The 12,998-nt window shown below is 36.7% G+C and overlaps 1 protein-coding gene and 1 long non-coding RNA gene across 18 annotated transcripts in view; one reads left to right on the forward strand and one right to left on the reverse strand.

The window, feature by feature from the left end:
• Window positions 1–12,998, forward strand: part of ADAMTSL1 (ADAMTS like 1) — a 1,004,318-nt gene that overhangs the window by 754,259 nt on the left and 237,061 nt on the right. For 16 of the 17 annotated variants that reach the window (XM_011518064.4, XM_017015312.3, XM_011518063.3 and 13 more), the window contains one exon: window positions 1,044–1,182. In XM_011518064.4, coding sequence (XP_011516366.1) covers window positions 1,044–1,182 — 139 coding nt within the window. Of the gene's footprint in view, window positions 1–1,043; window positions 1,183–12,998 lie in introns of those variants that run through there. The other variant, XM_011518067.1, reaches the window with a different exon arrangement.
• The window catches only part of LOC102724102 (uncharacterized), a 37,432-nt gene that overhangs the window by 3,937 nt on the left and 20,497 nt on the right, over window positions 1–12,998 (reverse strand). Inside the window, exon 2 of the long non-coding RNA XR_428448.4 lies at window positions 9,282–9,396. This is a non-coding gene — a long non-coding RNA (uncharacterized LOC102724102). The remainder of the gene's footprint in view (window positions 1–9,281; window positions 9,397–12,998) is intronic.

Genomic DNA, 12,998 nt, shown 5'->3' on the forward strand with positions numbered 1-12,998 from the left:
AAACCTCCTTCTGATTTCCTAAAATCTTTTGCAAGTCCCTTAATGATTTAAATCTTGCTTCCTAATATGTATTTAGCAATAACCGTGTTCAACCCACCTGCTAGGGATAATGTATTTGGCAGATTGATTAGGGTAAGAATGATATAAAAGGCCTAATTTTTTAAAATTCTCTATGCACATTTATTTTTCACCCCGAGAATCTAAGTCTTGATCACCACCCTACCAGAAATCCACAGGACAATAAAAAGGCAGGTAGGAAAGATAAAACATATGAAAAGAATTAACTATTACTCAACAATACTTTTTTTAAGAGAGGCTTCTTTAAACAGTGACAATTTGTGGGTGGAGGCTAAGAAATATTCGCTAGAGACTTTTTAAAGAGAATGACAGAAGATTTTGAATATAACAAAAATGGAACAGTAACAGGGAGGTGTTTTTACTAATTCTGCAGGGAAACAGGATTCGTGATGTCTACTGTTGGAATCTCAATGGTACATTTACTCAACCCACTCAGGTTGAATTTGGGCAAAAATAATGTTCCCAGGCATCTGGTGGAACCTGATCCTGTGCTGGCCCCCCATGTGCAAGGGGAGCAATGTGGGATTTATTTTGTTTATCTATTTGGGAGTTTATTCTCCCTAGTGCCCCAGGTACTAAGGAGGCAATTTAGCATTCTTGTATAAGATGGTTGGTAAATCCTGATGATCTTTTTTGGACACAGAATTCTGCATTATATTTTTAGATCATATAAAAGAAATAACAAGAACAGTTCTTACCAGAGTCTTATTATCTGGCTGGGCCCTTAAGTAGTTCAAGCCTAATTATATAATGTAATTATTAAGATTTGAGTGGATTACTTGAGAAAAGCACAGTACTTGAGGTCTGCAAAAATTAATGAGCCTTCCAATTATGTGTCTTTTTTCCTGGAAATGACTAAGGCATTGGGGAATAATTTCCATTGATGTGAGCTGGCCAAAATGCATAAAGAAATATATTGCATTGGCATGTACATTTAAACTTGCCTGGATGGTTTGATACTACAGGTTATCAGCTGACATCGGCTGAGTGCTACGATCTGAGGAGCAACCGTGTGGTTGCTGACCAATACTGTCACTATTACCCAGAGAACATCAAACCCAAACCCAAGCTTCAGGAGTGCAACTTGGATCCTTGTCCAGCCAGGTCAGTCAAATTTGCTAGTTCATTTGTCATAAACATAACTCAAGTTCCAAATAGGTTATTTAAATTAAAATGAAACGTTTTAATTAAAAATAAAATGAAATTAAACATCAATAGTGTTGCTGTCCAGTGTTCATTACTAATCACGTGTTATTAGTACCCATACTCCTTGCTCTGGCTGCTATGCGAGGCCATCTCGGAGTCTACAGACTCCCCTTTTATAAAGCAGCAGGTGACATGCTCTTCAGAGTCATTTTCTCTTCTGATTTCCTTTCATTCTGGTTCCTTGTTTCTTTCCTTAACAAGGTCCAGGCCAATGGACCACTCAACGTTCTTAACCAATGTGATGACACAATGTTCTCAGGATTTTTTCCATTTTATCTCTATTCCCGATCAGGGACAAGATCAGAGCAGACCATATTTCAGGGCCACAGCTGATCCCTTCTAGCCTGTCCACACTGATTATATAGAGTCAAAACAAGCCTTAGAACAGTTCTGCTGCCTTTGAACATACTCAGTCTTTGCTAAAGAGAAAGAACTTATTCTCGGTAGTCAGATTCTTAAAAGGTCTTTGAAAGTAGAAGCTTTAAACAGGCACTTGACACTTTCACACATGATTATTTGCTTTTTGGAAACTACAGTTAGCCCTCAGATTATCTGCAGGGTCAAGAATCTGCCTGATGAATGAATTATCTCAAGTGAAGAGTAGTCATGGAAGTGCAGGTCAAGAATCTTTTCATAGGTGTAACGTTTGCCTTTGCAGTCACAATACTTGCTGGTGATTCTCTTTAGTATAGTGTAGCTTACTCATCCTCAACTTATGAGAGAGAATATAAGAAAAATCTTCCCCTAGAAAAGCAATCAGGAATACCAAAAGACAAAGATTCATTTTCAAACTCCTTGGATTTTTGAGAAACATCTCAATGTTATTTTTTAAAATCATACTATACTGATGATGTATGCATAAAAAGAAAGCTTCATCTCATTAAAATATGACTTGGGCAATGTCGATGCAAATCATTCTATTTTGAGGTGATAAGCAATGCAATTTTAGTTTTTGTTTTCTGCTGTCAATTTCTTGAGGTGTATATTCCTCTACTCTTTTATCTTTATATTTATGACTGTTAAGTTCTACATGTGATATGAAATTGCTGTTATTAATTAATTCACAGGAACCATATTCCCTACCTCATAAAAGTGAACTCAGAATAACAGGTTTTCATTAAAAGAACAAAAAGAATAGATATTTTATAATTGTAAAATTTAGGTGAAGTTTAATTTAGCATCATATTACATCAGAAAATTATATATTAAAAATTGGATACGACATAAAAACTGAATAAGGTGTTGAAATTGTGCTTGGATTTCTTTATTTTGGAAATCTTAAGGGTTTGAACTTTTTAGCCAAGACAGTTATAACCCATGCAATTTGATTTCATTTTAAAATTATTCTACTTATATATTTTTATGCATAACTGTAATAGGAAGACCAGTGTGTGAAAGGCACAGTTATCCTAATTCAGACAGGTCAAGTCAGCCCTAGAGAGACCTTGAAAGTCTTTTACACATTTCCATGAAAATTTGTACGTGTATTTCTAGGAGAAATGACAATTTCACTTCCCACAACTTCATAAAGCTTTTTTCCACAAAGAAAAAAAATGTCAATCAAGAGATGGCCATGGAAGAGAGTTATGTGAAATAAAAGCATTTTGTTAACAATTTGAAAGAAATGTTTATAATAATGTTTACTCAATCTTTCTTGCCTCTGATTTTTACCCACTCTTGTCTGTTGGAGAAACTTTTTTGGCCTATTTCTTATTACCCAAAGCAAAAGGCCATTCTGCAGTGAAAGAAGTCTGCCTGTGCAATTTATGCCTTTTCTATGTCCAGTGTTATTTTAAAACATTTATTACAGCACATGAGTAAATGTTGGGACAGTTGGCTATGTAAAAAAGAAAGACACAAAGAAAGATAAGTGAGAAAAGGGAAAAGAAAAAATAGGCAAATGTCAGGAAGCTGCTTTTTTTTATTGAAGAAGTAATTAGACAAAGCTGAGAAAATTAAGACTTAGCAGTAGGAAAGGTCTAAGGGACAGCTGCTTCCGAAAATGTAAGTACGCTACTCTGAGGTTAAGATACTTCAGAAATTGCCATGAAATTCATTGAACTCTTTTGCATACCTGGAATCAAAGCAACCCTTCTGAATTCTAAGAGAAAATGAGAAGTGATGACCTAAGAAAATTAGATAGAATAGACTCCAGAAAATAGATCTGCTCTTCCATCAGACAGTGCAGAATCAAACCCCCAGGAAGCTGTTTTCTCACTCAGATTTAATGGTCTAATAGTAAAATCGAGAGTGAACAATGACATTCAACCAACACTTTTGTGTCCAAATTTAGAAATTCCCAAAAGGGAAAACCAACGTTCTTGGTATAAAGTCACATGTTTTTAATTTCAAAAGAAATTTATTATATCTAGCCACTGAGATATTTATTCATTTTTCCTGAATCACACTAGGATTTTTACCTATTTTAGTATTTAAAAGTAGAGTCCCTTGTAGTAAGAAAAGAGAAGGAAAAAGTAAAAAATAAATTTAAAAAGAAAAGTCCCAGTTAGACAGCCAACTTTATTCCCTATCAAGGCTTGCATGTGTCATTGACAGCAAAAACCGCATTAAACAATTAAGTCTATAACCTTATATTTATTACTTTACCCTTCTGGGCTTCCATTTTCTCACCCACCGAATGGGAAGAGAGGGTCATTTGTTGTTAAATTAATGGTTTTCAAACTGTGCCCACAGAGCCTGTTGTTCCACAGTTTTTTAAATTAAATTTTGTTTTATATATTTTAAAGTATTTTTAAATAATAATTCACAAAAATATATTCAAACATGTTAAGCAACTAATTTTAACTGATTCACACTAAGTTAAATTATAAAAATTATCACAATTTTAAGTGTTGTACTACCGAAGTAAATGCTTTTGCCCTCATCATTAAGTTCCTCAGTTATGTCTAGTTGAAAAAATAACTATCCTAAGATTGCAAGGTAAGCTGTAAAAACAGTTTTCATTACAAAACACTCTCTGTGATAATAAGAATTTTCTCATTACTACATATCTAAAACCAAAACAAAGAAGAAATAAACTAGATATGGCTACCAGTAGCCATAATCCCTGATATCCACTTTTTGTGTTTACCAAAATAGCTTCCCTATTCTCATTATTTTGCTTTATAATAGGTAAACATTATACATTTGAACTAATCAACTAAAATCATAAATATCATCAGTATTTGGTCTATATATTTTGGTCTTTTACACAATATAAAGCCTCCCAATGACCAGGATGTTTCCAGTCACTGCATGTGATTGTGTCCACAGTCCCTTCCAACTTCAAACTCAGTGACTATAAATATCAGTCATTATTTTAGTTTTAGGAAGTTTACAACAGCTTCCTAAATACATGAACAACTTCTAGGAATTGTCTCAAATCAACAGAGAACAGGCAACCAGTGGCATGGAGGGGTCTCAGGAATATCTCACTCTACACATCTGTCTATTTTTTGGTTCTCATTCTCTTTTCCTTTTGTTCCCACCATCTTCTTTCTTTACTTTCCCATCTCATTTTTTGTTCCTCCTCCTTACACTCACTGACAACATCCACTGGATTCCATGGTGGTGGATTAGTTCATCTACTAGTTCTTGAGGCTGAAGAGATTGTTGACATCTCGCCTATACTCTTCAAAATACTTTTTATGTTTTCATGGCTTTTTTGCTGATTCTAAATGCTAACTTAGAAATATTGATAAGTTAAAAGACTGTAATGAAAACAATGAACTCACTAATAATCCCCAATGCCCGCAGATAACCTCTGTTAATGCTTTTGCTATATTTCTTTCCAGTCTTGTCTATAGCTCATAACATAATTGAGATCATACTTTATACAGTAGATACTTGGCATTGAATAATTTGGCATTCTTGGTTCTCATTCTTCTAAAAGCAAGCCTGAATATCCATGACACATAGTAACTCGACATTGTGCTGAGGTAGGAATTTAAGTTCACTGGACTATAAGACCAACAATTGAGCCATGCTGGCTGCCCAGCAGTTTCATCCCAAGAAGGCTTTGTTGCTCTCTGCTGGTGTCATTTACACAGTTATTTTTCTGAAGTGATAAAACACTTTGTTTCCTGGCCAAAAGTGGTAAACTAGGAGCCAAAATTTAATCCTTATAAGGGAAGTGAAGAGAAAGTAAAGTATAAAGATTTAATGACTTTTAGATAAAATTAATAAGGCTTTTCATTAGAGACTCAGAGCTATGACATCACTAAGCCCATCATATGCTCTGTACACAGTGTATTACATGTTCTACTGGTAGTCCCAATGGGCATTCCCAGAAGTCCAGAGACACACCCTCCTGCATGTCAGGGATCTACCACGTTTGTTTTCTGCTTCATACATTTAACACTATGTTCTGTATGCTTTCCCATGTGACTAAGACATTTAGGATCTAGTAAAATGTAAAATCCTCTCTTGTGCCTACCATGGTATAAGCAAAGCTTCTGTCTTACGCCAATGGAAATATTTTTGGAATTTGTGCAATGATGTGTGGCATTTTTACCTCTTGGGTGAAAGGTCAGGTCCATCATGTGGCCAGAAAGCCTCAAAGTATAAGCCTGTGGTTCAGCAACAACTAAAAAGGCATAGCATGAATCCAGCTAATAAACACCTTGATGTTTCAAAGCAGCTTTAGATGTAAAATATACAACATTTAGCCTTACATATCTTAATCTGTGAGATGGTGAGACAGTTAAGGCTGTCTGGAGGAAATTGTGCAAGTTACACTTTGTGAGACAATCAGAGAACCACCTTTGCAGATTTTCTTTTTTTTTTTTTTTTTGGCACAGACCTTTAGTTTTCTCTCCAAGGCAGTAATGAAGGGGGCTTAAATTGGCAAGAGGTGGACAAGTGAAAAAAGATCTCACTCATCACACTATCACGGCCACAATTATTAGCAAACAAATCTGTTTCTAGCTGAAACTGCATCCAGATTCCCCCTTCCCTCAAGGAATTCAGAGCAACAGTCCTAAGCAAATGCCCAAACTTGTATACCCCCAAGCGGCAATTCTTGGCAAGTTTAAGTGAACTTTTTTTTTTTTTTTGTCCAGCTCCATTTAGTTTCACAGTAAATTGCATAAATTGTCTCTGGCCAGGAACCAAAAAAAAAGTCTCAAATTCTAATGCAACTATGAAGAAATACCCTGTATTAGAACAAGTGTTATGTGTAGTAGGCATGTAAAAATACTGATTCTCACACCAACTTGGTGACCAACTAGTCAATGGCAATATAGCCTGATGTTTAGGAGTGGGAGCTTTGGCATAAAACGTCCTGGCTTGAGACCCTGGCTCTGCCACTTACTAGTTGAATGGCCTTTGGCAAATTCCTTATTCCCACTAAGCCTCAGATTTTTCATCCTACGAAGTGAGGATAATAACAATACTTACCTCATAAAGTTGTCATGAGGAATACATGGCATAATACATTTAAAGAGCTTAGCAGAGTACCTGACTCATGATAAGCGCTCAATAAATGTTAGCTGCAGCAGCTATATAATGACTAAGATCACGGTTATGATGATGTTGATGTTAGCTGAGAGAAACTCTTAAGCTCTCCAGAAATCAGCTTTCTCATCCATGAAAGGAAAAGATGGAATTCTAGAATTCTGTATGGGTCTAGAAAGATGGTTCTCTGTTTGTTGTTTTAACAACAGGAACTGTAAGTCCTAGGAAAATATGATCTTGAGAGTAAATCACATTTATCAGATTTTTTTAAATATAATGATCACAAGAAATTAAGATAATTGGCAACTCCTGAAGTCTCAGTTCACAAGTGTCTGATAACCTCTACTTTACCAGCTGTGAGACATTGCCATTTAATTTACATGGGACTTAGGCCAGGTATGTCTCCAAAAAAAAAACTCAGTGTAAGGACAAGAAATGGTTGACTTATTTAGCAATTACTGTATAATGAAATGTTTTCTTAATTATGGAGGTCTTTAGTTTTACTACAGTAAGTAAATGATTTAGAAAAGTAACAACTTCTTACCTTTTGATCAACCTCATTTAAGTAACTGCTTTGTGCAGCTAATAAGTAAACAATAAGAAAAAAATACCCATAAAATCTCATTTCCACATTCATGTATTATTCATAATGAGATAAATGATACAAAGTTAGGGTGCTTCTTAGAATGCATGATCATACCCTTCCCATGCTTATAGATACACCACACATCATCAGACAATCACATAATCAACTATAACTCAATTATCTGGGAAATTCAATTTACTACAAAGCCAGATCATTCCTAATAGTAGTATCACTTCTTATAGTACACTTTAAAGTTTTTTAAAGTGTAATTATTTGTGTAATTCTTTTAATTGGCCTGTGAGTTAATAGAGTAGGTATTATTTCCATCCTTATTTTTAACTTCCGTCTGTCAGTTTGTAGCCAAAAGACTTTACTAGCTAAGTAACTTCTTATCTAGGCCTGAGTTTTGCCCTCTGTAAAATAAATATAATATTCCTGTCAGAGAGTAACTGTGAGAATTAATAAGACAACATATGTAAAGTCCTTAGTGAGGTGCCAAGCAGTCACCAAACATCAGCTATCATGATTGAATTGAGAAACAGACTGGTAAAACAACTTGCCCAATGTCACTTCTGTTTGAAGTTTATAAGGTGCCTTCACATCCATTATCTTATTTAGTTTTACAGTCCCTAGGTTAGCGGGCTGGGGGTTGTCACCTTTATTTTACAGATGAAAAAACTGAAGCTCAGAGAGGTTAAGTGTTAGGGCCACTTGGCAAAAGCAAATTGGGATGTGGATCTAAGTTCTTCCAGTTCTACAGTATCTCTACATAAAGACAGGCATAAAGGCAGGCAACCTGATGCCTGGTGCAGCCTTCATGCCATCAAATCCCACAGTCATCCTTGTTCTGCATAATGCCTTAAGCAACCTATGAGATCTGGTTCCAGCCCAACGTAGAACAGCACAGCCAGCACAGAACCATTAACCATAACAATGCCAAGTCTGGGTGTTTGAATTGACCACATACCCAGGTTAGGCAAGCCTCTTTCATGTAAGTGTAAATACTGACGTTTACTCAAATCAAACAATGGCTAAATCACTCAGTACAGAAAGAAGTAAACAAAGACCAAGGAAATATTAGTCCCACTTATTTAAAAGCAGTTCAGAAATTACATTCATTAATACCAAGAATGTTTAACCCCACAAATGTAGATGTGAGGAAGTATTCAATGATTTGACCCAAATTATTAAAACTCTTCAGTATTTAGTTTATTACAGAAAATGAATTTGTGTCCAAAAAACTGTTTTCAGATCTGCATAAAGCAGACTCCTTTTGATCTGATTTCGGTGGAAGCCCAGATAAATGAATGTTGCTGCTTAGTTTATGGTTTTTTAAAAATGGGACCTAATTATAGAATATTTTCCGATTTATGGGATCCCAACGTGCCTCTGTAAATGTTAGGGAAACTCTCTGTGTTTTAAGAAGTCATGAAGTGTCACAGGAGGTAAATTTTGAGAGAATTATCTTAGTTCAGTGGTTTTCAAGCTGTGGCCCAGTAAGCTCTGAGTTCTACTCTTAGCATACACTAGGAAGGGGCAGGTAAGATAGAGTCCAATAGCATGGGTTTCCAGGCACCTACTCTTACTTCATCTTAAAACTTCTGATCTCATCCAGTACTTAGTTTTTGCGGATGGCCAAACCTTGATGTAAGGTATTCAAGGTTACATAGAAAGAAAGTAGCAGAGAGGAGTACTGACCTTCCAACTCCCAGCCTCTCAGGTGATCCTTTTCCTCATTATGGCCAGATCCTCCATGCTTTGCTACTCACGAAATAGCAAAGTGCTTGTATGTCTTCCAACTTTTTATTACTTCTTTCCTGCACCCTTCTAAACTGTTGCTTAGAAATAGGCTGGTTTCTATTGCCCTGAGGTTGTCTAGAGAAGATGGAGCACCATTTTCTATACAAGAGACCCTTCTACTACACACAATTTTGTTCATTTTTTAAAATATAGTCACCTATTTTGTGAAAGGTTCTGTGCTTGGTGCCATGGCAAAGGCAAAAATGAATCAACTAGAGTCTGGGCCCCCACACTGTCCAGGGCAGGTTGAGTTGTCCAAAGCAGCACGGTATCTGAAAGACACATGAGAAAGAGAGAAGAGAAGATCTTGTTAAAAGCTTTCAGAGTTATATCTGGGAGATAGCCAATGAAAAGATACAGAGGTAACCTAAGCAGGATGGAAGCATAGTCACTAATCTGTCCTTTCTCTGCTCACATCAGCCAATCACCCCCGCTTGCCTGAACAGCCTTCCTAAACTGCCAGACCACTCTCCATATCAGACTGCCCTCTCTCAAAGATGGCAGGGCCAGCAAAAGGCAAGACGTGGGACTGAATATGTGCACAACAGTGGCAGTTTGGGAGTTTCTTTCCTTCCTTTCCTAACTAGCTTTTAAAAACTTGTTTTTGCTTTTTTGTTTTAATTTTGGATGTGGTTGCATTACTTGCCTTTGCATCTGCACACTGATGACATAAGTTCACTCAATGATTATTTACTAATCACCTGTGTGCAGAACACTGTCCTAAGAGATGCAGTAAAGAACCAATATAGCTTCTGCCTCATGGTGATAAACTAAAGAAAAACTTGTGAAATAGTTAGAAGTTAGTACAGTTGGCCCTCAGTATCCATGGGGGATTGGTTCCAGGACCCACCCCACCCCCACCTCCACAGATACCAAAAGCCACAGATGCTCAAATGCCTTCCATATATAAAGTGGTGTAGTATTTGAATGTGACTTATATCCACCCTCTGTGTACTTTAAATCATCTCTAGATTATGTATAATACCTTATAAAATGTAAATGCTATGTAAATAATTGTTATACTATAATGTTTAGGGAATAATGGTGAGAGAAAACATCTGTACATATTCATTACAGACGCAACTATCCATTTTTTTTCTTCAAATATTTTCAGGCTATGGTTGAATCCGTGGACGCAGGACCCATGGATATAAAGGGCCAATAGTACACAGTTAAAAGTGAGGAGAGGAGTTAGTATTAGGGGTGTTAAGAAGAAGGAGAGCGAATTTCTGGCTAGATGTTAAGAGAGAAAATAGGCAAGAATTTAGGAGAAGTAGCATTTGACTAAAAAATTTCACTGGGCATTATGGAACCATGTGAGTCTTCTAAATGGTGAGGTGAAGTATCAGGTGCTTTGGCAGCAGAGTAGGCTGGATTGATTTGTTACGAGACTGGTATGAAAGTGCCCAAACTTGTGTCAGGAGGAGATCTACTTGGCAAACATTGCTGGTGTCGAGATGACAACTGGAAGAACTGAGTGGTGAAGGTAGCCCCAGTGTACAGTGGATAGGAGAATTGCCATGACTGAATGGTGGTCGTGATAACAGGAGAAGAAGCAAGGCCAAATAATGAATTGTCTGGGATGCACTGAGCTTGAAAAGCCTAGAGCACATCTAGTTATCAGGAAATCAGAAACGAAGATTTGCAGTTCCAGAGAAGAAGCAAGAGGTCATGAGAGATTCACTGAGAGAAACCCTTGAAACCATGAAAGGATCTCTTTATGGTTCATTTTCATTATAAAAAGAACAGAACCGGCCGGGTGTGGTGGCTCATGCCTGTGAGGAGGCCAAGGTGGGCAGATCACGAGGGCAGGAGATCGAGACCATCCTGGCTAACAAGGTGAAACCCCATCTCTACTAAAAATACAAAAAATTATCCGGGCGTGGCGGCGGGCGCCTGTAGTCCCAGCTACTCAGGAGGCCGAGGCAGGAGAATGGCGTGAACCTGAGAGGAGGAGTTTGCAGTGAGCCGAGATCGCACCTCTGCACTCCAACCTGGGCGACAGAGTGAGACTCCATCTCAAAAAAATTAAATTTAATTAAAAAAAAGAACAGAACCCCGGTAAATTAGGTGCCCATGGAGTTAACTACTTTAGGATTTTTCTTGTAGAGAGAGATGTATCTCAATAGTTATATTCTACAACTGAGCAGTGTGAGCCCAATTTTGGCTTGTTTTTTTTTTTTTAACACTGGGGACTCTGTTCTAAAGTAGCATCTTAGATCACTTCTGCACAGACTCAATGATCTTGAAGTAACGCATGGAATTTGAGGTGATGGCCTCATTTCATCCACTTCATAGTTCCAAAGTTTCTGTCTTTTCTTTCTTAGATTTGAATTTTTTCATACTTGAATATTCTAATTGTTGTAATTGTAAAAGGTGATATATTATAGAAAGCTTAGAAAACAGAAAAACATTTAAAAAGAAAGCAAAAAGTACTCATAATCCTAATACCAATAACTAACCACTGTTGAGAGTTTTTTATATGTGTGTGCATATATATGCATGTATACATCTGTGTGTATACATGTGTCACATGAACACACATATGTAAGTTATGAAAATGCATAGATATGTACACCATCTATATATTTTCTCATTATGGTCAATCATATTGTACATTCTATTTCATATTCAATTATTTTTAGTTGACATTACATTTGAGCATTTTTCCATGTCATTAAAAATGACTCAAAAACCATTATGTCCATGTGCTGCATAATGTTTCATTATATAAACTTGTCATAACACTGAATCATTCTCCTGAATTGTCAATGGACAATTCAGTAAGACATGTATTTTGAGAGGATGAGGTGGGATGCCTTTTCTACTGATAGCACATCACTCCAGAATGATCACTTGCTCATGCTCACCTTCTCTTCTTACCACCACAACCCCTGATGATGGGGATATTAGATGGAGTCATGTTACTGCCCAGTGTAAGAGAAACAATGTAAGAACTGTGTGCCTGGTGGTCAGCATAATGAAGGCACTGGAGAATGAGTTTTACCCCCAAGCCAACTGTTTCTTCTATCTTTTCCCTTTGTGACCATTTTTAAAAATCATTTTTGCCTCCTTCACCACACCCCACATATTCAGATGCATGTCTGAATGCGTGCATACATGTACACACACCCACATCGAGACCTAAACATGGGGAGAACTTCTTAAAGTCCCGAAATTACATTCTTTTTCATTATTCTTTATGATTCACACTTTGCTTAAGAAAAAAAAAAAGTAAGCAATAGGAAGTTAACTTCAGGCAAGCTTGCTTTCTCCCAGCAACAGTGTAGTGAAAGGCTAGGGCCATGGCATGAACCCCAGAGAGAGCTGAGCCTATGTACACGAATATGTATTAGCAGGACTGGACAGAGCACCATTGTTTTGATAGCTTTCTGTTTTCACAGGTGCTACAGAGTCACTTTATGAGTCTTCACCATGACCCATGTCATAGAAGACAAATATAGCTATAGTTTTGCTGAATCCAGGTTTAAAGTTCCTTGTTCAAACAAAAACATAATTTCTAAATCGGTCCAAAGCAAAGTTCAACGTCTTGAATTTTGTACACTCTCCCTTTTATTCTCCTTCACTTCAGCTTGTCTCCTTCAGTGTTACTGCCTCCATTTTAAATATCATCAGCTGATAAATCAATTGACAGAGATCTGCAACAGTTTATTCTAATATTGAAGATGACAAATTACAGCCATAAATTTTTTCAGGAGAGAAGGCAATGGTATGCATTTCTGCATTTAGAAATTGATGTAGCATGAATAAAGATACTAGAGTAATGTAAAATATAATTTCAAAGTCAACTTGATTTATTCCTTAATTGACTACTATTAGATAACAGTGTATGTACAAACTTACTAGAAGGACT

The sequence above is a fragment of the Homo sapiens genome, chromosome 9 (assembly GCF_000001405.40).
Source record: "Homo sapiens chromosome 9, GRCh38.p14 Primary Assembly".
Taxonomy (NCBI): domain Eukaryota; kingdom Metazoa; phylum Chordata; class Mammalia; order Primates; family Hominidae; genus Homo; species Homo sapiens.